We start from the raw sequence: 21,987 nt of genomic DNA on the forward strand, positions 1-21,987 counted from the left end.
TTCCGATTAAAGGAAGTAATGACTTTGTGTTTTGTGGGTCCTTATGATGCGGTAGCCAGAGTCCTGGGCTAGGAGTCAGACCACCAGACCCCACCCTGGTTCTATCACCAGTTCACCTCTTCTCCTCTCTGGCCTTAGCCTCATCTACAAAATGAGGAGTTGGATGAGTTTCTCTTTATGAGCCCTGCTCTGATATTTCCCTGCTCTGCTCTACTGATTGCTACCAAGGCTGGGAGATGCCAAACATTTCTGCAAGCCAATATTTCTCCAAACACTCCTAGAAACAGCAGACAACCTCCAGCATCCCAAACAGGCTGGTGCCAAAAGTGTGAGCACAGCCAACTGCCTGCACTCAGCGCTGGAAGCTAGAAATCAGGCAAAATATGCAGGGCCAGGGAGGGTCCCAGCAGAGTGCAGGATGCTCCAGCCAGGGTATCCTGTTTCCATCCAAAGCTTTTCCTACAGAGATGCTCTTACTCATAGGATAAGGATAGACAAAGCCTCTAAAGGAATCAGAAACATGTGGACCAGGCCAGGGCAAGAAGTAGAGTTAAAGGTTATTTATTTTTTGGGGGGAGGATCACAAGGTCAAGAGATCGAGACCATCCTGGCCAGCATGGTGAAACCCCATATCTACTAAAAATACAAAAATTAGCCAGACATGGTAGCACGCACCTGTAGTCCCAGCTACTCAGGAGGCTGAGGCAGGAGAATAGCTTGAACCTGGGAGATGGAGGTTGCAGTGAGCCGAGATCTCACCACTGCACTCCAACCTGGCGACAGAGTGAAACTCCATCTCAAAATATATATATATGTGTGTGTGTGTGTGTGTGTGTGTGTGTGTGTGTGTATATATATGTATATATATATATATATACATATATATATATATATTTTAGTTAAGGTCTAATAAACAGGAAAATGCCCATATGCATGCATGTCTTCATATAAATACTCATAAAATGAACACATCTGTGAAACAGACACCCAGATCAAGAAACAGAATACAGCACCCCAGAAATCCCTTTTGTGCCCCCTTCCAGTCACTAGTCCCCAAAGGATAACCACCATTCAGACTTCTGGCACCACTGATTCCTTTTGCCGTTTTGAACTTTTGCAAATGGAATAAAGCAGTACAGACCCTTTTGAGTCTGCCTTCCTTTGCTCAACATTACATGTCTGAGCTTCATCCATTGTTACATGTAACAAACTGTTGTTCATTTTCATTTTTGCATAGTTAAGACTTAATGAAGAGCTAAAATCAATGAGAGGGCCCTGAGTCTACACTAGGGTGCTCACTGACAGCCAAGTAAAGAGGTTTATATTGAGCTCTCCAGACATCAGGATGATCCCCCTGCTCTTCTTCCTGCAGTCCCATGCCTTCCTCCTAGAAGGCTGCAGAGGCAGAAGGTGGGGCCTTGACACCCCAAAACTACTCCAAAGGCTCGATCTGTTCACTGTTGAAGGCCAGAAGCTCTTGATCATGAACACTTACCCCATGCCCAGCTCTGAGAGGGATTCCTGACTCAGCATCTCATTTCATCCCCACAACCATGAGCTAGGTAATGGTACTATTTCTGTCTTACAGGTAAAAAAGCTGAGGCTCAGAGAGGGCAGGTTGTCTAATGTTGCACAGCTAGGACAGGAACCCAAACCCCAACCCATGTGACCCCAAAGGCCAAACCTCTCCACCACTCTGTGTTGGCAGGGAATTCACCACCTGGATCTGGTCCCCACCCATGCCCCCAGCCTCATGTAACGCTGCTTGCCCCGGCCTGCTTTCCAAGGCCACACTGGCCTCCTGCGGGTTCCCCAGGTCCCAGGCACTTCCCCACTTCAGGGCTCATCCATGCTGCTGACTTTGCTTTTGCATTTACCCTTCAGTTCTCAAATGAACAGTCACTTCCTCAGAGCAATCTTCTCTAACCACCCAGATGGAATTACATCCCCATGCCCCATCAATCCCTTGCAGGGCATCCTTTTCTCTCATTTCTTAGCCCTTAACACACCTTATGGTGATTTATCCTTTAGCATCCACTTGTCTAGTGCCTTTCTCCACCAGCCTGGGGAGCATAAACTGCCAGAGGACAGGACTGTGTCTGTTTTGTTTTCCACTGCTTGGATGGTGCGTGGCACACAGTAGGTCCTCAAGAATACGTTAAATGAAGAACAGGAGGGCAGGAGAAAAGAATAGGACTGTCCCTTCAGAAGCTGAGTGGTCATTCAAAGGCAGCTCTAGTTCTAGCCTGTTCTGTGGCCCCAGGCAAGACCCTTCCCTTCTCTGAGCCTCCATTTCCTCAACTGTCAAGTGAGAGGCCTGGAAGAGAGGACCTCTAAAGGCCTTCTAGGTCATCTGGCCTAGACCACAAATCCTAGGACATCTGACCACTCCAAAGGCCCCTGGCCCCTAGTCCCTGGGCCTCCCCTGCTGCTTACTCACCTTTTGCCCCATTAGCACTTTAGAAGAGTAGGGGAGGTGAGAATCACCCCAAGACACCCCAGGCTATGAGCTGCATGGGATCTCCACACCCTGTTGCAAGTGGAGGACCAGGAAACATGAGGTCTCTTCCGGGTCTAATAGCACATGTCCTTGATATATGGAGTCAGGGAGAGACAAGACTAAGAAGGAATTATAAATGCAATCCCCAGGAAACTGCTTCTACTTCCTTCTTCAGAGTCCCACTCCCCACAACTTCTCAGTTTCTCTGCCCACCCAGACTCTAGTCCAATCCAAGAATGCCCTTGTTAGCATGTATGTAACTGCCAGGGTGGAGCTCCAGGAGGGCAGAGACTGTCTCATCTTGCTCGTCTTTGTACCCACAGTACTCAGCACAGACCCCTGCATGCAGGACATGGCCAAGTGAGGGCACTGAATCAAGCATCATTGGCAGGGCTGGCTGTGGTTTGTTGCCGAGAATGGCATCTTTCTGCTGGTGCCACCAAGGGCAGGAGAAGAACCTGAGGCACAGAGAACCGGCTTCCCATTCAGAGGCAGGCTCCAGCTGACCAACCCCAGCCTCTGGTCCTATGTCCTCTTCCTACCCCTTCACCAGGCCCAAGACTGGGAAAAGTCATTCCCCTCTGGGGTCTCTGCAGTTATTTGCTCCCCCACCCACCATCCAGTCAGCCAGGACTAACTCCCTGATCTTGAAGCACCTGCTGCCTTTCATTCTCTTTGGAGTGAAGCTCTTCTGGCTTTGAAGCTCTGTTTCATCTTTGAAAGTTTAAAAAAAAAAAAAGTAAGACAATTAGTCCTGACATAAGAGTTCTATAAAGGGAAAAAACTCCTGTTTTGCCTGTTGGATACAGTAGACACTTGTGAAAAGAAAATAAATCTTGGGGCCCCCACATCCCTAAGCTAAAGGGAAAAGTCAAGCTGGGAACTGCTTAGGGCAAACCTGCCTCCCATTCTATTCAAAGTCACCCCTCTGCTCACTGAGATAAATGCATATCTGATTGCCTCCTTTAGAAAGGCTAATTAGAAACTCAAAAGAATGCAACCATCTGTCTCTTATCTACCTATGACCTGGAAGCCCCCTCCCCATTAGAGCCTTCCCATCTTTGCTTAGAGTTGGAGTTGTCCCGCCCTTCCAGACCAAACCAATGTTCATCTTGCATATTTGATTGATGTCTCCAGTCTCCAACCAAACTGTGCTGTGACAACTTTGGGCACAGGTCCTGAGGCTGTCATGGGCATGCGTCCTCAATCTTGACAAAATAAATTTTCTAAATTAACTAACACCTGTCTCAGATTTTCTGGGTCTACACACTCTAAATTCCCATGTTTTCATGCTGCGCTGTGTGTGAAGGGGTGAGGCTAGGTGCTCTGATGAGCATGTGTGAGTGTACAAGTGCCAAGCTCATGGGAGAGGGCATAACAGGTGTGCAGGTGCAAAATGGACTGGTCAGAACCTTGGCTATGTCACTCACTGGCTCAGCAACTTTGGGCAACTTGCCCAAACGCTGGACCACAGTTTCCTCATCTGGAAAAGGAGAGTAAAAATAATGCCTATTTCATGCATTGTTATGAGACTCAAACTTCATGACTGGTGTTTTGTAATCACTACACTACCACCTAAATATTAGCAGCTGGTAGAAATGGAAGGCAAGAAAAGAGCTTCAGAAAATCTTAATTTCTATCCAAATCCTAACGATAGTACTTTCAGATCTGATTTTCACCCTGGCTGTGCTCTGGGCTCAGCAAACCTGAAAATGCACCAGTAACAAAGATCCCAGGAAAACTTCATGATGGGGCTCGTGTGGCTGGTTACTCAACATAAATCCATTCTCAGGAGGATTACCTCACCTCCCATTCAAGTTCTGAGCTTAAAACAAAACCCTGGGAACCATGGAGAATCCCAAGTGAGACTCAGAAGAAAACCAACAAGTCAGGTCTCCATCCAGAGCCTGGGGAAGCTTTATGAAAAAAGTAACAGATCAAACAAGAATCATGAAGGTTGTCCCTGCCAGCTAGATTATGCTGAAAACACAGAACTCAACAATTCTCATCCCTTTTACTGGCAAGTCATTATTTCCAGAGCAATGACCATGTGCAAAGTCACCCAGGCAGGTGAATAATCCTCAGGCTCATTTTTAAAGCTTCCCACTGGTCCTGTGGCCCTGCCTTCCAACACCAACTGACAACTGTGCCAGAAGAAGCATGACTTTGGCTCCCTCGGCATCCCCCCACCTCTCACACAGTCTCCTACCTCCCCAGCTCCTCTCCGATGTCATAAAAGTCCTCCACCTTCTGCTGCTTGAATGGCTCCATGTTTGGACTCCTCATTGAGGCCTGGAACATACAATCCTGAAATGGGAAGAAACCTGTGGTTAGGACAGCCATCCAAATTAGCACAAGCCTAAGAGTCTAAGGCCTAAACGTAATTGGCTGCAAGGGAGCTAATAATTTAGTAATAATCCACAGCCTTGGTTCTTCAAGAACTGCCCTGCTCAAGCCTTTTCTCACCTGCAGCTGATGATGTATGGTTCTTATTTGATTTATACGAATTCAAATTTGTTAAGGAGACAGGAAAGGAGAGCTCCTCAGGTCTTCAGATCTGTCTGAAGAAGTTCAGAGAAACATCCATGGTGAACTTCAGCTATTTGTTTTCATTAAATTCAAAACTACTGCAAAAAGAGGCAGCTGTTGTACAGTTTTTAAAAAAAAATGGCCAGGCATGGTGCTCACAACTGTAATCCCAGCACTTTGGGAGGCCGAGGTGGGTGGATTACTTGAGGTCAGCAGTTCGAGACCAGCCTGGCCAACATGGTGAAACTCCATCTCTACCAAAAATACAAAAATTAGCCGGGTACGGTGGCATGCATCTGTAATCCCAGCTACTTGGGAGGAGGCTGAGGCAGAAGAATCACTTGAACCCGGGAGGCAGAGGCTGCAGTGAACCAAGATCACACCACTGCACTCCAGCCTGGGCAACAGAAAAAAAAAAAAAAAAAAAAAAAGCACTAGCTTTAAAGTCAGAAGTCCTAGGTACAAGCCCCAGTCTTGCTTGGGTAAGCCACCTAAGCTGCCAGAGACTTAGCTTCTTCATCTGTAAAATGGGGCTAATACTGTAAAATCAACTTCAAGTCATGAAATTATTTTGTAAACTAGAAAATGCTGTTAAAAGGTAAGGGATTATCATGACCTCAGCTCCCTCAGGTGTTGTACCACCCAACTGCGTGTCTGAACTAATCTGTAAACTCTCTCACTCATCAACCCCAAAGGAAAGATGGACAGGAGGAGTGAGGCAAATTCCTACAGGCACCAGGAGTCAGGAGCCTGAGGTGCTAGTTCCAGCTTTGCCTACAACTAGCTCTGTGATCTCCTTTCTTGTCAGAAGGGCCTCAGTGTCCTCATCTGTAAAACTGAGCCAACTCTGCCTGCCCCAGGCATCTCACTGAAAGCCATAGCCCAACTCTGAGCCATGGGGAGCACTTACCACTCCACCAGAAAAGACTGTCTGCATCGTCTCCTGGGATCCCTCTGCCCCAAGAGGCTTACCCATTCCTGACAGCCATGTGCCACTCTGGACAACATCCCAAGAGCAGGGCGCAGGGCACAGTCTGCAAATCACAAGAATAAAACCAGCTGCCTGTGGATGTGTCTTCCAAGGGTCTTTAGCAAAGGCCTGTCAGAGCTCATTTTGGTTAGCACTGGCAGCTTTTCTGCTGACTGCCAATCAGATCCCAACCACACATGGGCTCCACGAACCCCAAAAGACTATTTTCACCAGGCTGGGTGGAGGCACCATTATATAAGGGCACATCTCATCAATGCCAAGTGGCTGGAGCTGTCCTAACTCTCAGCGGGTGTATACATTTCACCCTCTTTCCACCACTTTAGCCCCCTGCAAACCAGAGCTTCATTACCAAGATGCCGCCTGCCTCTCTCCCTTCCACCAAGGCACACAGAGCCTGAAGACCCTCAGGCAGAGCTGGCCTGGTTCCCAGGGCTTACTCTCGTGGTCACCTGCCTGTGGGTGTCCAGGCTCCCTCATGCATCCTCCATGCTTGGCCAGGGCTGGAGCAAGCATGAAATAGTGAAAAGAGTAGGCTCCAGGAGCCCCAGTTCCAGACTAGCGTGAGTGTATATTAGCCCTGTGACCCACAGCAGGTGGGTACCCTCTCTGGGACTCATCCCCTCACCTGTAAACAGAGTGATACTATCTATATCACATACTTCACACATCCATGTGGGGATAAGGATATAAACTACTGTACAAATAAGAAAGATGATTATTACTGTGATTTAACCCATGCCAGGGAGCCCTCTAGCAAGTTTAGCTTGACCATAATCAGAAGCTCGACGCCCCTCATCCCCAACATCCTGGCAAATCTCCCAAGACTGGCCCAGGGAGTAAAGGGAGTGCTATCTACCATCTTCTTTTCAATGGAAAAAAAAAATTCCTTCCAAATAAACAATTTGGGTCAGGTCCTGCAGGGTGGGGTTACCAATTTCACACAGCTAGAAGCAAGCAGGAAACTCCAAAAAAATTCTGTTGGCAGAAACCCTGAGAGTGGTCCCAGGAACAGCTAAGATCTCCCATTTGGTGAGAGGCCAGCTCCATTTGCTGAGAGCAGGATTCAAAGAAGCCCCAGTTCCCAGCAAAATGGTGAGCCTCTGCCTTGGGCTCTATATCCTGGGTGGCCAAGGTTAGGGGGGCAGGTGAGCCCCTTAGGGACAAACTAGGCCCACCAGTTAGGCTTTCGCTCATCTTTCCAGCCTTTGCCCCCTCCCTTATATATCCTATATTCCAGCCAAAGTTGACCTTTCCCATTCCCCTAAAACTTTCATCCCTGCTATATCTCGGCTGAAGTGGGGCCCTTGCCAGGGGAGGCCCAGCTGGAAAGCCCTGGAGAGTGGGCATAACTACCCACTTCCCACAAGACCCAGCCAAATGCTACCGTCTCTGTGCGGCTCCATGATCCTTGCCCTCCCAAAAACAGATGACAATTCTCCACCTCTTCAAGTTCTCCCAGAGTGCTCTTCATACCTTTTTAGGGTTCGAGTTGATCATATTCTGGCTTATGTTTATGTCTAACCCAGAGGGAGAGAATAGATTCCATAGTCATCACACAGACCTGGGTTTAAATCCCAGCTCTGTCACTTACTGGCACATTGTCTTAGCTGAGCACAGGATAACTTTTGAGTTTCACATTCCTTCCATGGAAAATGAACGTAAGACAATGTCTAGTGTTGGTGAGTATGTGCGGCAACTAGAGCTCTCAAACACTGCTGGGAGGGGTATACACTGGGACCACCACTTTGGAAAACTGTTCAGCAATTTCTTTGGACATATCTAAGAGAAATGCATGCAGATGTTTTCCCAAATGATCCACGTTAGAATGGTCACTGCAATACTATTAGTAATAACTAAAAATTGGAAACAACCAAATGGTTATCAATAGAAGACTGGATAAACAAATTGAGGTACTATATACCCATACAATGGAATCATTATACAGCAATAAGAATTAACAAACTACTGCTACCTGCAACAACATGGATGAATCTCAGAAACATAATGTTGAATGAAAGTAGACAGACACAAAAGACTGCATACTGTGTGATCCCATTTAGGTAAAATTAATGCATGGTGCTAGATGTCAGCAGAGTGGCTATCCCCTCACTCAGGGGAGAGTTGGAAGGGGAGCTTCGGAGGCTTCAGAGTGCCAGCAATGTTGTTTCCTGATCTGGGTGGTAGTTAGATGGATATATGGGATGATTTTGTATGTGATCAAAATTTTACATAATTTTTTAAAATGAGACTAATGTGAGACAAATGAGATAACCCATGTGTAATGTTTTAAACGGTCCATGGATAACGTGAATTCCTTCCCTCCTCTTTGTGACTTGGAGCCCCATAAGGGCAAGAATTGTGACATTCCTACCTCTGTCCCCTTGTCGTAGGCTAGTACACAGTAGGCACTATATAAGTGTTGGCTGATTTTAACTTAGTTCCCCAGCCTCCTTTCTCAAGGCCGCTACTCAGATGCTCATCAGGTAAAACAACTGATAGCCACTTCAAGCACTTTCCTAACACCTCTCCTAAGGCGAATTTGCATTTTACCAGTTTAGAAACAAACTAAAGGGGTGAAACTGAAGTGGAATTATAGTCACCAGCTAGGACCCAGATAAGGAGCCAGAGGCACAAGGACCTTTCCAGCCTCGAAAAGCTGAAATCACATGGCAGAGGGAAGGGACACAGTTACAACTTTTGGCCAGAAGCACAGGCCATCAGCTCCAGATGCTCCCAGGATGATACCCACCTTAATGCCCATGTTTCTCCTGATGGAGTCCTTGGAATTCAAATTCCTGCCTACAACTCTAATACCAGGCAACACTTCAGGGGGCTACCACAGATTTCCTAGAACCCCATAGATCATCTATTTAGGGATTTTTAGAACTGCTTCAGGATCACCAGGGTGAGAAGGGGAAGCCAGAGCAGTTCCACGTTATCCATACTATATGTTGGCGTTCTGGGTAAGAATTCACTGTGAAACAGAAGTTTGAAAACCACTGCTGTCTGGTCTAACCCACTTGTTTTTACAAGAGGAAGCTGAGATCCAGAAAGGGGAAGGGACTCACTGAGCATCATACAGGTGACCCATCCCGCTCCTCTTCCCAGGGCTTCTTCTGTTGATAGCCACCCCAACTCCTCCAAGATGTCACCAGGGTTGGCAAAGTCAGTGGCCTCCTGAGGGACAAGCTAGGAGGAGGTGTCTAGGGCTGGAAGATCACCTCATAGGAAACTCTCAACACTCAAGAAGCCCTCTCCACCACTGGCCCAGCTCACTCTGCAAAGTGAACTCTCTCAGTTCCTCATCCCACCTCACCAAGTGCAAGTGAGTGAAACGGGACCACAGCAAGAGGGCAGGCAATGGTTGGGCAAAACACACACGACCGTCTCATTACACACACCCCCATTAGGAATCATCACACTCAGGCTCTGGAGAGGCTGCCAACAGAAGGGATGGGGCTCCGGCATTACAGAGCTCCTCTCTACATTCCAGGCTTTGACCCATCACAGTCTCCAATGAGGAAGCTGGGGCCCACAGAAGGTCAGCCACCTGCCTGAGTTGACACAAGAAAAACTTGGTCTCTCTGGCAAAGATCCAGCTCCCTTGGGAAGCCTGCTTGTTCACCCCACAGCTAACAAATCGGGAGGCCTCAAGGAGGTGGGCAGGGTCAGTGCGGGTCTCATTCCTGCCAGCCAGGAACTTACCCCAGAGGAGCAGACCTCCAGCCACATCCACACACCCCTGACCCCTCTGCCCAAGTCTCCTCTGAAGGTGCTGAATCATCAGTGGTGCCACTTGAGGGTGCTCAAAAAACATCTTGGGAGATGAGCGGTTTGGGGAAGGACAGGGCTGTGAAGTTAGCTGTGAAGAGGCCAAGGCACCACGGCCTCTTAGGTCAACAGGACTCTCCCAGGAATATCTTCCACAGAGGCAGTTGGGAGTCGCAGTGTCAGAAACCAGAGTGGCTGCCCTCCACAGGATTCCAGGATACAAGATGTCAGGCGCTGTCCCTGCACCTGCCCGCTTGCCCCCGAGGCAGCCAGCTATGGTGCCCTCTCCTCCAGTGTGCACCACTGCCTTACCATTACCTGCACGGCCTCAACGAGGCTCACCTCTCTGGACCTTGTTTTCTCTTTTGTAAAGTAAGAATACCAATTTCCACCGTGCAGAGTTACGGTGAGGGTTAGCCAGACCTATGCAAGCCTTGGGACCTCCAAAATGCCTAGCCCAGAGTCCTAGTCAACTGTTGGCAACGCCCTTCCAAGCCGTTCCACCCCAACCTGCAGCACACCTGCTGGCCGCCCCCACGCCCATCCTAGCTCTACCCCAGGCCGGGGCGCCTGACGGCGGGGACCCCAGCTTCATTCAGCCCCAGAGGAAGCTCAGACATCTGAGCACCCTCCTCGCATCACATCCTTGTGCCAGGCGGGAGCAAGAGGTGAGAGAGTCAGCCCAAGCTGAGAAGACTTGGCCGGGAGCCGGGCGTGCTCTGCCCGTTCCAGGGGGCCTAACTCGATGGACGTCTGTCTCCCATCTCCCTGCTGGGTGCTTGGCTCTGCCCGCCGCCTCTACCCTGTCTCCCAGGTCAAAGTGCCAGGCTCCGGAGGGCGCCCCAGGGCAGCGGCGGGCAGCTCCCGCGCTCGGGTGCCGGCCACAATGCCCCGGGCCACGGCGTCAGGCATTGGGGCGGCGGGCCCGGGATCTGCGAGCGAGTGCCCCGGATCTCTTCGCCCCGCCAGCCCCAGACCCGGGCGCTGCTGCCGTCAGGCCGCGCGCCCCGTCCCGCCCATCGAGCCCGCAGACGGGTGCTACTCACGGCGGGAGGCTGAGCTGCCGCGGTCGCGGCCGCGGCAGGCGCGGCGGGAGCGGCGGGCGCGGCGGGCGCGGCGGGCGCGGCGGGCGCGGCGGGAACGGGGGACGCGGCGGGGTGCGCTGGGCTCGGCCCTGCAGTCCTCTCCTCCCAGAGCGCCCGGCACCCGCCCGCCGAGCAGCCTAGGAGCCGAGGGGGCGGAGCGGCCAGCCCCGTCCCAGGCGCCGGCTGGAGGCGCGCCCGGCTGCCCGGGACGGGGCTCGGGGCGCCCCCTGCTGGAGCCCCCTCCGGACAGTCCCGGGGCGAGAGCCCAGCTTCCCGGCCGGGTAGGGGACACCTCAGGGCTCCCAGACTCCCGGGAGAGCGGGGAGAGTCGGTAGCAAGACCCTCTGCGCGTCCCTACCGGCTCTACCGCGCACATGCTGCGTGGCCTTGGGCAAGTCGGCTACCCTCCCCCGGCCTTATCTGGAAATCGATTTGAATGAGCTTATACGTATGACATGGTCTGGCACAATCCTCAGAAAATGGTACTTGTGTGCTCCTCTCCCCACCATACACACCGTGAGCGAGGAAGCCCCACTGAGGAATAGGCCGTCTCCTCCCTCCCAGCCAGAGCGCTCCCTACACCGCAGACTCTCCTGGAAACCTCAAGCCCACAGCGTACAGCAAGGTGGGGGCTGCGATGAGAAGGGCCGCTCTGCTCCTCACTGCCCCCGACCCAGCCTGAGAGCGGCCTGCCCTCGTTTGCCCTTTGTCCTGGCACGGTTGCTGAGTGAAGCCCCCCTCTCACCATCACGCCTTCTCTAATAGAGGACTTGGGAATGGGTTCCTCTCTCTGCCCTCTGCCAAAAAATCCCTGAGGAAAAAAGGAATGAGAGTGAGGGGGTGAAGGGAGGAAGGAAGGGAAAACAGAACTTAAGCCAAGTTCATTTGTCTTATTTCAAAACAAGAGGCTGTTTAGAGGAAGCAAATGAGGACCCCTCCAACCCCTGGAATTTCCATCCCTAAGTCACCCATGGGGCTCCTCAAAAGGGCCTTAGATTCAGAGTCCTACCACCAGGTTCAAAGCCCTGCCCTGCCACTCCGCATGTGTGTTCTTGGGCATGGCTCTTTCTTCATCAGTAAAGTGGGAGAAACGCACCTTCCGGTAGCTCCTAATGAAGCTATGGTGGGGCTGAGATGAGATGGAGTGTGTAAGATGCACCTAGAGGACCTCTACCAGTGTGAGCACACACACACCCTTCAGCCTTTTGGACATTGGGACAAATACAGATGGACCCCACCCCCCAGCTGAGCAGTGCCTCCGGGTCCAGGACATCCTCGGCAAAGAGTTCCTTGTTTATAAACTTCACAATAATTCAGAACAGTGCAGCCAGCGAGCCTCCTCTCCTAAGAGCAGCATGATATATAGAGTAATATCCAAGACTAGAGGTGGTTTCTGATGTCAACGGACCTAAGGGAATGACACCCACTGGTGAAGTTTCACCAACATGAGAAGTCCCCCACCAAACTATCCCTAAACACCTCTTCCTCCATTTCCATTTACCTATCACTGGTGACAAACCATTACCAGCCTTGGTGGCACAGGACAACAGTTTCACTATGTTCATGCATTCTGAGGGACAGAAGTTCAGACAGCACAGTGTGTATGGCTTATTTCTGCTCTGCAGTGTCTGGGATTTCAACTGGGAACACCTGAATAGCTGGGGGCTGAAATCATCTGGAGATTTCTCCATTCTCATACCCAGTACCTGGGCTGTGATGAATCCAAGGCTGGGCTCAGCTGACCCTGCTGATCACCTACATGTGGCCTCTCCATCTCTTTCCCTTGAGCCTCATGCTTAATACCTCATTGTCAGCAGCAGCAGCCCCTTACATGAGTCAAAAGAGACATTCTTGGGTTTAGCAATTGACAAGTTAGTCAGAGTCCATTGCAGCTGGAAGGGTCATTGTCAATTGACCCTGGCCACTTTTCAGATGAGGAAACTGAGGCTCGGAGAAGGGAGGTGACTTGCCCAACATCACATAGCTGGTGAGAGACAGAGCTAGGATTAGAACCAGGCCTCCTCCAGATTCAGTCTGGTGCCCCTTCCACTGTACCTGCCAGAATGCAACTATCTAGGAAGCTACCATCTGGAGATGCATCTTATGCTTAAGGTTGGGTGAGTTCATCAGACCCTCACCTGAGGGCAGCGACAGGGCACTGAACACAGGACCAAGGTGGCCATCAGCAGAAAAGGGGAGGCCCCGAGGACAGTGGCAATGAAGACACAAATTCCAGAATGAAGCCAGAGGCAGTCCAGGTATTAAGAGCTAAGAATTATCCAACTCAGTTCCAGTCCCTGCATGGTTCCCATGGCTGACCAAATCGAGTGTTAATGCCTCACCCTAGCATTTAAGGCCCCAACCCTTATTTTCCTGCTGTGTATGCACATTCCCTTCCCTCCTCTGCATGCACATCCAGCTCTTTTGCCAGGTTGGATTATTGGCTGTTCCTGCCTCCATGCTTTTGTTCGTTTCCACTACCCTTCATCCCATTCTACAAAATCTTATCTATCCTCTAAGAGCCTTCTAAAGTATCATGTCTTCCACAGAAACTTCCCTGGTCTGCCCTCTAAATACCTCTCTCCTTTGAACCTCACCACTCTTGGTTGGTACATCTCTTGTCATCTTCCTTCCTCTATTTTAATTAGTGTCTACTTCTCCTTTTCTCAAGGGCAAGTACAATTTCTTGTCCATCTTTGAACCCATACAGTGCTTGATATCCCAAACCCAGTAAAGGTTTCTTAAACTGAATTAAGGAAGGTAAATATCACAAGGGGCCATAGCTGTCTTGTTTTCTATTGTCCCCTAAGAGCACCCAAGCACCTGGCACTTAGTAGATGCTCAATAATCTTACTTCAAGTGCTTCACTTCTAGGGGGATGTCATTATCCTCTTTTACAGATGATGTAACTGAGGCTTGAGAAATTTGATTTGCTCAAACTCATCCAATTTGTAAGTGGCTGAGCTGTGACATGAATCTTGCCTACTGGTCTCTGAAGCTATTCCCTCTGCTGCCTTCCCTCAACTGAAACTTCCAAGATTTCTAAAACAGTGTTAATCTGGAACTTTTCAGTCCAGGCAGTACATCAGAATAACTGAGAATAACATGGGGTGCTTAAAATCCCCCATGCTTAGACTGCACCCTACATCAATTACATCAGAACCTCTGAGGATGAGTTCTGGGTATCAGTTTTTGTTAAACTCCCCAGGTGATTCCCAGTGCACAGGTTGAGACCCAGTCTGTTCATGTCACAGAGACCTAGGGAAATTCTCAACCCCCTCAATGACAAACACATCTGAGTACCTGCTTTGTAAAAGACATTCCAAGGGACTGTGAGATGGTAGAGTCACAGGACCTGTGCTTCCCAGGGATGAGAATACAAGCCCATAGATAAAGATGTAACCATGGCAGGCAGCAAAGGGCACTAGTCATGGTGATATCCTAAAGCATACTTTGGTGCCTGGCAAGTTTACAGAGCCTAAAAACCTCCTGACAAGGGGGCAAGGTGGGGATTAAGATGCTGCATGTTGGCCATGGCAGATGGCACCTGGGTTGGCTTACAGCATGTGTAGTGTGACGGCTAAATGCAGAGACTCTGATGCCAGACTGCCTGGGCCCACACTCAGGCATCCCAGCATGCAACTTACGTGCCATGTGGTCTGGGGCAGGCTATTTGATCTCTCTGTGCCTCATTATCCCCATAGGTCAAATGGAGCTTATAGTAGCATTTATCTCTTGGGTTGTTGTGAGCATGCAGTTACTTTTCAATTCGATCAGTGTCTGGCACTTGGTAAAGTCCGCAATGATTATTAACTGTTATTATTATTCCCTAAATGTCTGGCAATAAGCTCCCCTGGGGAGGAAATGGATCTTATTCATCTCTGCGCCCCATCCCACCCCTAGCCTGGCCCAGAGAATTGCCAAATGCAGTCTGAAATGCAGTCTTCTTGACAACGGGTCAAGTCCTGACTCTCAGGCTCTCGGCCAAGGGAGTGCACAGGTGATTCCTCCCCAGAGGGCTTGCCTACTGGATGGAAGGCCGGCAGGAAGCTGCTTCTTCCCAAACTGACCTGGTGGCCTGGCTTCTCAGCCCTTCCCAGCCATGCCCACTCTGCCCTGTGCCATCTGCCCTCCTAGATGGGAGGTGTGGAGCAGGCTTGGTTTGGCAACCTTTCCTGCTACCCCCCCCACCCCCGGGGGCACTGGTTCTTGCAGCCAGAGGCAGCTGCTTCAGCCTCTAGCCTTGCTGGACTCAGCACCACAGGGATGGGGCAGGGAAGGGGAGGAGAGAAGGGAGGAAGGAGCTGGGGGATGGGAGGCCTTGCCTCTCTCTAGAGAACCTGGGGGATGGGGATTTCCTGGACATGTGTACACACTCTTTTACTCCGCAAACATTCAATAGTACCTCCTGGGGTTATGTGCTGGAGTAGGGGCAAATAAAGACCCAATGCCATAAAAGGTCAGATCTACTCCAGAAGGAGCCTCCAGAGAAAAGGAAAGCTTGATTCAAACTTGAAAGAAGAGTAGGGATCACCGGGAGAACAGAAAAGTCCACAGTGGGGCAAGGGAGGCAGGGCACATGGGGTGTGAGCAGCTGTGCATGTAAAGGGCTGCAGGTATGAAACCACTTGTCATTCACCGCCCCTATTTCCACCTGAGCCAGCACAGGGCCTACGCTATGGGATCATGACCCATGCATATGCCATTGCCTTCTATTCAGGACAGAGGCTGGTGACACATTGTGTGGCCAGGACCCCTCAAACTATACCCACCTTTAGGGCTACAACATCCAACCACCTTCTTCTTTAGGCTCGGGAATCAGACAGGCCTATTTGTATTCCTGCTCATCCACTTTCTGAGCCTCTGTTATCTCATCAGTAAAATGGGAATAATTACGTCTTTTTCTCAGGGCTGATGTGAGGACCAGACTCACAAACACTGTGGCAGATGTTTGAGAGAGCACTGGCTCAGGACCATAGGAAAGGTTTGAGAGAGACAGAGATAAAGAGGGAGAGAGAGAGAACTGGCACAAATGTCAACCTCCCTCCCAAACCAGATCCTTCCATCCCTCAAGACAGTCGGTCACGTATGCCCTATCTTTCCAGCCATGTTGTTCCTGCCTCTGTCTCTGAAATGCTTTCTTCTTTTCTCCTTTATCTATCCAAGGTTCAGCTCAATTCCAACTTCATTCATTCTTCAATCCTTTCTCGGTGCCCATTGGGCCAGACTCTGGGCTGGGCCCTGAAAGAAATGAGGCACTGGCCCTGCCCTGCAGGAACTCAGAGCCAAGCAGAGGAAATACCCTGGGAACAAAATGCCTGGAATCCTGTGTTCTGAGGCCAGATCAGGGGCTAGGCAGATCCCAGAAGGAGCCCAGACATGGGAGGGGTGGACCCTGAGTGCCTGGAAGGTGGGCAGGGGGCAGGGAGACTCCTCAGAGGAAAGGACCTCTTCCTAGATCTCATTAGTTAAGAATTCACAGCCATATCTGCTGAGCTGAAGATATGATTTCACCTTTCTGTGTTTGCTGATGGGTCCCCTGAGTGACCCCTGTCACCCTCCCCACTCTGTGCCAGGGATGTAGTCGGAGTCATCAGGGGCCTTTGGTGGATCCATGCAGGAAGGATGGGTAGGACAGCAGCTCCTTCCACACCCCCGCCTGAGCTCTGACCTCTGTGTGGGCTGGTCCTCCCACTTGGGGCCCTGCTCTGCCTGGGGCCCTGCTCTGCCCTCCCTGACCTGCATGGTGACTCCATTTCAGCTGAGCCCAGGTCCTGACCCAGTTATGAACAGCTGCATCCAGGAAAACAAAGACACAGGAGGCTAAGTTCAACCATCTATAGTGGCCTCTGCCCCAAACAGGACTAGGCCCGGCTCTGCCCCCTCCAGATCTGTTCTCCAAGATAAAGGACTCCAGGCTCCCTCAGCCCTTCTCTTTCATGAGATTTTTTTGGCCTCTTAGCCTTGGTTTCCATCACTCCAACTACATAAAATATTTTCATCCTTCCACCCAGATCAAATCAAAATTTGTAGAGAATTTATCATGAGCCAAGGCACTGTGCTGTTTTCTAATTATCTCATTTAATCCTCAAGCTGAATGCATTTTTGAGACCAATATGAATTTTTAAAAATTATATAGATGGGGAAACAGATTCAATCAAAGAGCATGATGGATATTTACATTTAGTTTTGCTGCCCAGTTTCCAATCCCTGCTTCCTATCTGGGAGGAAATAACTATGGTGGCTGTGTAAGTGGATATAATGCACCATCCCTCACCACCAAAGTTGAAGGGAGGCCAGGCATGGAGGCACTTTGGGAGGCCAAGACAGGCAGACTGCTTGCACGCAGGATGTCAAGACCAGTCTGGGCAACAGAGCGAAACCCCGTCTCTATAAAAGAAAATACAAAAATTATCCAGGCCTGGTGGCATGCTGAGGCAGCGGGATCGCTTAAACCTGGGAGGTCGAGGCTGCAGTGAGCTAAGATTGCTCCACTGCACTCCAGCCTGGGTGACACAGCGGCAACACCCTGTCTCTAAAAAAAAGAGTTGAAGGGAGGAAATCTTCCTTCCTCGTGTCCATAAGACTTAGGCATGGCCAATCAGATATTTCTGCCCAGCACTTTGAATCCCAAATAAGTAATGCCAAGATGTTCACAGTGGGGTCAGCAGCAGGCGAGGCCTCCTGGACAGATGATTTTTCCAGCCTCTGGAGCCCCTTTGGTTCCTGCTGCTCCAGCTTCATTGATGCTGTGTCCCTCTCACCCTCCAGCACACCTTTTGTGCTGAGTTGGCAAGAACCTGAATGATACTGGGAGACACGAGAATGTGCTCAATGCTGAAGGGCCAGGAGCCATACATCTTCTTTCACACCCAGAGTAATCCACCTCATCATAGAGCTTCCAACACAGGAGAAAGGTGGACAGAATTCCCAGACTCCCGGGGAAGGGAAGCCTGGCGTACAGCAGGCCTAGAGAGCAATCAGACCCGACAGCCCAGGGGCACAGCAGGCTCCAGGGGCAATGTCTCCAAGAAAAAAGTGAACTTCATACATCAAGCAATCTGTTTTCACCTACTGAGTGGCACTCTTTGAGAGGAAAGTTTGGGGATGAATTTATTGTAAGTACATAGAAAAATTAAATGAATAAATAAAGTGATTATTATTTCTAGAAAAAAACAAAAAGGTGTATAAGTAAGGAAATGTCATCATAATACACTATGGCTCAGCTTTGAGCAGTGAATAATATTTACATGTCATCATCATGTGAACAATAGATTTTTGTCTTGTCTCAATAGAGAGAAGGATGGGGTTGGGGAAAAGTATAAGAATTAAGTGGCCAGGCGCGGTGGCTCACGCCTTGTAATCCCAGCACTTTGGGAGGCCAAGGTGGGCAGATCACGAGGTCAGGAGCTCGCGATCAGCCTGGCCAATATGGTGAAACCCCATCTCTACTAAAAATACAAAAGTTAGCCGGGCATGGTGCGCCTGTAGTCCCAGCTACTCAGAAGGCTGAGGCAGAAGAATCGTTTGAACCCAGGAGGTGGAGACAGAGTCTGCAGTGAGCCGAGATCATGCCACCGCACTCCAGCTTGGGTGACAGAGTGAGAGTCTGTCTCAAAAAAAAATAATTAAGTCCTCGTCTTTCATAATAGGAAGTCAATAGCTACATGAAACTGAAAAGTCATGAAGCAGTTTTATAATAATGTTTCTTGGAAATAAAAGAAAGAGTTTTCAGTGTTGAAACTGGTGGTCTTGGGGCTCAAGTGTGGAACAAGATGGGCAGGGAATAATGGTTCTTAGTTACAAGACTTATAAAGTTTTTGCTCTTTAAAACAATATAAATATATTACTTGGATAAAAAATAAAAGAAAAAGATAAAAAATGGGTAGGATCAGATTGATTTTTTTAAAAGCAGATAAAAATCACAACTCAAGATATCAGAGTTGAGCCGGGCGCAGTGGCTCACACCTGTAATCCCAGCCCTTTGGGAGGTAGAGGCAGGCAGATCACCTGAGGTCAGGAGTTCGAGACCAGCCTGGCCAACATGGAAAAACCCAGTCTCTACTAAAAATACAAAAAAAATTAGCCAGGCATGGTGGTGCATGCCTGTAATCCCAGCTACTCTGGAGGCTGAGGCAGGAGAATCACTTGAACCTGGGAGGCGGAGGTTGCAGTGAGCCAAAATTGTGCTACTGGACTTCATCCTGGGCAACAGAGCAAGACTCCGTCTCAAAAAAAAAAAAAAAAAAAGATAGCAGAGTTAATAATCTTCATAGTCACTAATAATAATTCAGCATTTACTGTACACAAATCACTGCATTATAATCCCCACTTTATAGATGAAATCTAGTGAGACTCAGGTAGTTAACATATAACAGAGACAGGATTTAAACCCAGGCAGTTTGACTTAGAGCCCCAGTGACAGCATACGCTGAAGCTCCAAACTCTGCATTAAACATTAGGAAAAGCAGAAGACCAGGACTGGGTGGTGACCATCAGAATAGTGCATGAATTGCCATACTAGGCACAGCAGGGTCAGTAGGCTCCTCTCCCTTGTTTCCACCTAACAGTGGCTAGAGGATACAGCTTTGGATTTGGGGAAAAGCTGAATGAGAATAACTCCATGAAGAGGAGAACAACTTGACTAGGGAAACAAATAGGGCGGCTGTAAGAGCCACAGGGAAAAGCAAAACAGAGGTAACTCTGGTCCTCCATGAGGGACAGAGGGGGAAAAAACAAAGACAGCTTCATCTAGAAGGGAGATACACCAGAGGGCACTTTACTCAGAGTAAAGCTCTACTTTTTTGGCAGTTTGTCCCCAACCTGTATGCTCCCCACCCAGTCCCCAACAAGAAAGCTAGTCTAACATGCCCAATCCATTCCCAACCCACTTACGCAGTTTGTAAACTGGAAAATAAAGAAGTCTCAGGCCAGGTGCAATGGCTCATGCCTGTAATCCCAGCACTTTGGGAATCTAAGGTGGGAGCATTGCTTGAGCCTAAGAGTGCAAGACCAGCCTAGGAAACATAGTGAGACCCTGTCTTTAATAAAGATTTAAAAAACAAATTAGTTGGGCAAGGTGGCATATGCCTGTAGTCCCAGCTACTCAGGAAGTTGAGGCAGGAGGATTGCTTGAGCCTGGGAGGTCAAGACTGCAGTGAGGCATGATTGTGCTACTGCACTCCGGCCTGGGCAACAGAGCAAGACCCTGTCTCAAAATAATTAAATAATTAATTAATTTTTAAAAATCAAAAAATAAAGAAAAGAAGTCTACCAGAAAATAAAAAAAGATGAAAAATACTGAGAAAAAATTTAAAGCATGGAGAATATATATAGGAAGTCCAGTATTTGTTTAAAATGAATACTAGGACAGAAGAGAGAATATTGAAAGAAATAGCAAAAAATATACCAAGAGAAAATTGTCTTTAGCTAAAAAAAATAAAAATAAAAATAAAAATCTTCAGATTAAAGGACCAAGTGCCAAGTAGGGTTTAGAAGGGTTAAAAAATGTCTATACCAAGGCACATCATGTTGAAATTTCAGAATTCCAAGAATGTAGAAAAAAACAAGAATTAAGAGGGGAGAAGTCGCTTGATCCCAGGAGTTCAAGACCAGCCTTGGCAACATAGTGAGACCTCATCTCTAGTGAAAATAAATAAAAATAAAAATGAAAAACAGGGAAAGGCATCTTGCCTCAAGAATACATATCAGAACAACAGACTTTAGTCAAGCCAAACTGTCTTCTAAGTATGACAGCAAAATGAAGCAATTTTTATAAAATGGCTCAGAAATTTTAACATACAAAACAGATATAAAAAAATTACTCTAGAAAGTGTAAACAGAAGTTTAAAGAATCCAAGAAAGAAGGAATGTATATTCAGAAAAAAAGAAGAATCACAGAAAGAGGGTGATATGGGATATAAGAAATAGTTTGGGCCAAATAAGACTCAAGAAAATACAGCTGGAAAGAAAACAGGGGCTGACATTTGGAGGACTCTTAGACAAGTTGCCAAAGTTTAATAGCATGAAATTACATTTCCTTCTTTCTTTATATAACCAATAACATCTCTTCAGAATGTACTAGAATCACTGGGCCCCTTAAAATTGATTCAGAACTTCTGGGGCTGAGAAATGTGATCTTCAACAGGCCCTGAAGGAGATGCATATCTACAAAAATTTGAGACCCAACGTGTATTTGGTTCTAGAGAGAATATTATACTGTATATATAAAATCATAAAATAAGTCATTTATTGGTTTTTAATTTTTTAGAAGCAACCTATGAGCATAAAGGATAGACTAGTTTATAGGCACACATCAAAACGTCATGTTATTAATCTTGACAATGAAAAAAATGTATAGCAAATTTGGGAAGTGGAAAGGGAAAAAGCAATAGAAGGAAGGGAATTTGCTCCAGCTTATGTTATTTTAAATTATTAATGGTAGCCGGGTGTGGTGGTGTGCCTGTAGCTCCAGCTACTCGGGAGGCTGAGGTGGGAGGATCACTTCAGCCCAGGAGGTGGAGGTCACAGTGAGCCAAGATCACACCACTGCACTCCAGCCTGGGCGACAGAGTGAGACTCCTTCTCAAAAATAAATAAATAAATCTAAATTATAACAGAAGTTTCCTAAGGGAAATGCCTGATACCAGGGCTGGAGCAGGAAGAGTACAAAGTAACCTAGAGCATCTTGTGCCACAAAGTAAGAAAGTGCTCAAAAATGACAGTAACATGCCAAGAGGACAAGGAAGCCAACTTCAGAGGGCTCTCACTGGCCAGATTAGGAATTATTTCAGTATTGAAATAAATAATGACAGGACCAGATTAGAACACATCAGATAATTTTAAAAGAATCTATGTCTTCCAGCCGGGCGTGGTGGCTCATGCCTGTAATTCCAGCACTTTGGGAGTCTGAGGTGGGTGAATTACCTGAAGTCAGGAGTTCAAGACCAACCTGGCCAACCTGGTGAAACCCCATCTCTACTAAAAATACAAAAAATTAGCCAGGCATGGTACTGGACACCTGTAATCCCAGCTACTCAGGAGGCTGAGGCAGGAGAATTGCTTGAACCTGGGAGGCGGAGGTTGCAGTGAGCCGAAATTGCACCGTTGCA

The 21,987-nt window shown here is 48.4% G+C and overlaps 1 protein-coding gene across 24 annotated transcripts in view, besides 7 other annotated features; it reads right to left on the reverse strand.

Annotated features, from left to right (window-relative positions):
* Positions 1–11,025, reverse strand: part of DAPK2 (death associated protein kinase 2) — a 139,450-nt gene extending 128,425 nt beyond the window's left edge. For 22 of the 24 annotated variants that reach the window (NR_169523.1, NR_169524.1, NR_169522.1 and 19 more), the window contains exons 1-2: positions 10,838–11,025; positions 4,710–4,807 (exon numbers count right to left, since the gene is read on the reverse strand). Coding sequence is in view for 11 of the 24 variants with exons in the window: in NM_001384999.1 (NP_001371928.1) it covers positions 4,710–4,801 (92 nt within the window). In the remaining 13 variants the exon portion in view is untranslated. Of the gene's footprint in view, positions 1–4,709; positions 4,808–6,001; positions 6,064–10,837 lie in introns of all 24 variants that reach the window. The other 2 variants (NM_001395290.1, NM_001385000.1) reach the window with 2 other exon arrangements.
* Positions 3,259–3,760: an enhancer, noted in NCBI's record as "NANOG hESC enhancer chr15:64330918-64331419 (GRCh37/hg19 assembly coordinates)". NCBI's record gives its function as "activates a minimal SCP1, AML or CMV promoter by ChIP-STARR-seq in primed H9 embryonic stem cells {active_cell/tissue: H9 hESC(primed)}" and the evidence as "EXISTENCE:reporter gene assay evidence [ECO:0000049][PMID:30033119]".
* Positions 9,309–9,358: an enhancer, noted in NCBI's record as "active region_9549". NCBI's record gives its function as "activates an Ori minimal core promoter by ATAC-STARR-seq in GM12878 lymphoblastoid cells {active_cell/tissue: GM12878}" and the evidence as "EXISTENCE:reporter gene assay evidence [ECO:0000049][PMID:35858748]".
* Positions 9,409–9,458: an enhancer, noted in NCBI's record as "active region_9550". NCBI's record gives its function as "activates an Ori minimal core promoter by ATAC-STARR-seq in GM12878 lymphoblastoid cells {active_cell/tissue: GM12878}" and the evidence as "EXISTENCE:reporter gene assay evidence [ECO:0000049][PMID:35858748]".
* Positions 10,659–10,878: a silencer, noted in NCBI's record as "silent region_6525". NCBI's record gives its function as "represses an Ori minimal core promoter by ATAC-STARR-seq in GM12878 lymphoblastoid cells {active_cell/tissue: GM12878}" and the evidence as "EXISTENCE:reporter gene assay evidence [ECO:0000049][PMID:35858748]".
* Positions 10,909–10,968: a silencer, noted in NCBI's record as "silent region_6526". NCBI's record gives its function as "represses an Ori minimal core promoter by ATAC-STARR-seq in GM12878 lymphoblastoid cells {active_cell/tissue: GM12878}" and the evidence as "EXISTENCE:reporter gene assay evidence [ECO:0000049][PMID:35858748]".
* Positions 10,989–11,198: a silencer, noted in NCBI's record as "silent region_6527". NCBI's record gives its function as "represses an Ori minimal core promoter by ATAC-STARR-seq in GM12878 lymphoblastoid cells {active_cell/tissue: GM12878}" and the evidence as "EXISTENCE:reporter gene assay evidence [ECO:0000049][PMID:35858748]".
* Positions 14,999–15,545: an enhancer, noted in NCBI's record as "H3K4me1 hESC enhancer chr15:64342658-64343204 (GRCh37/hg19 assembly coordinates)". NCBI's record gives its function as "activates a minimal SCP1, AML or CMV promoter by ChIP-STARR-seq in primed H9 embryonic stem cells {active_cell/tissue: H9 hESC(primed)}" and the evidence as "EXISTENCE:reporter gene assay evidence [ECO:0000049][PMID:30033119]".

This window comes from Homo sapiens, chromosome 15, assembly GCF_000001405.40.
Source record: "Homo sapiens chromosome 15, GRCh38.p14 Primary Assembly".
Lineage (NCBI taxonomy): Eukaryota > Metazoa > Chordata > Mammalia > Primates > Hominidae > Homo > Homo sapiens.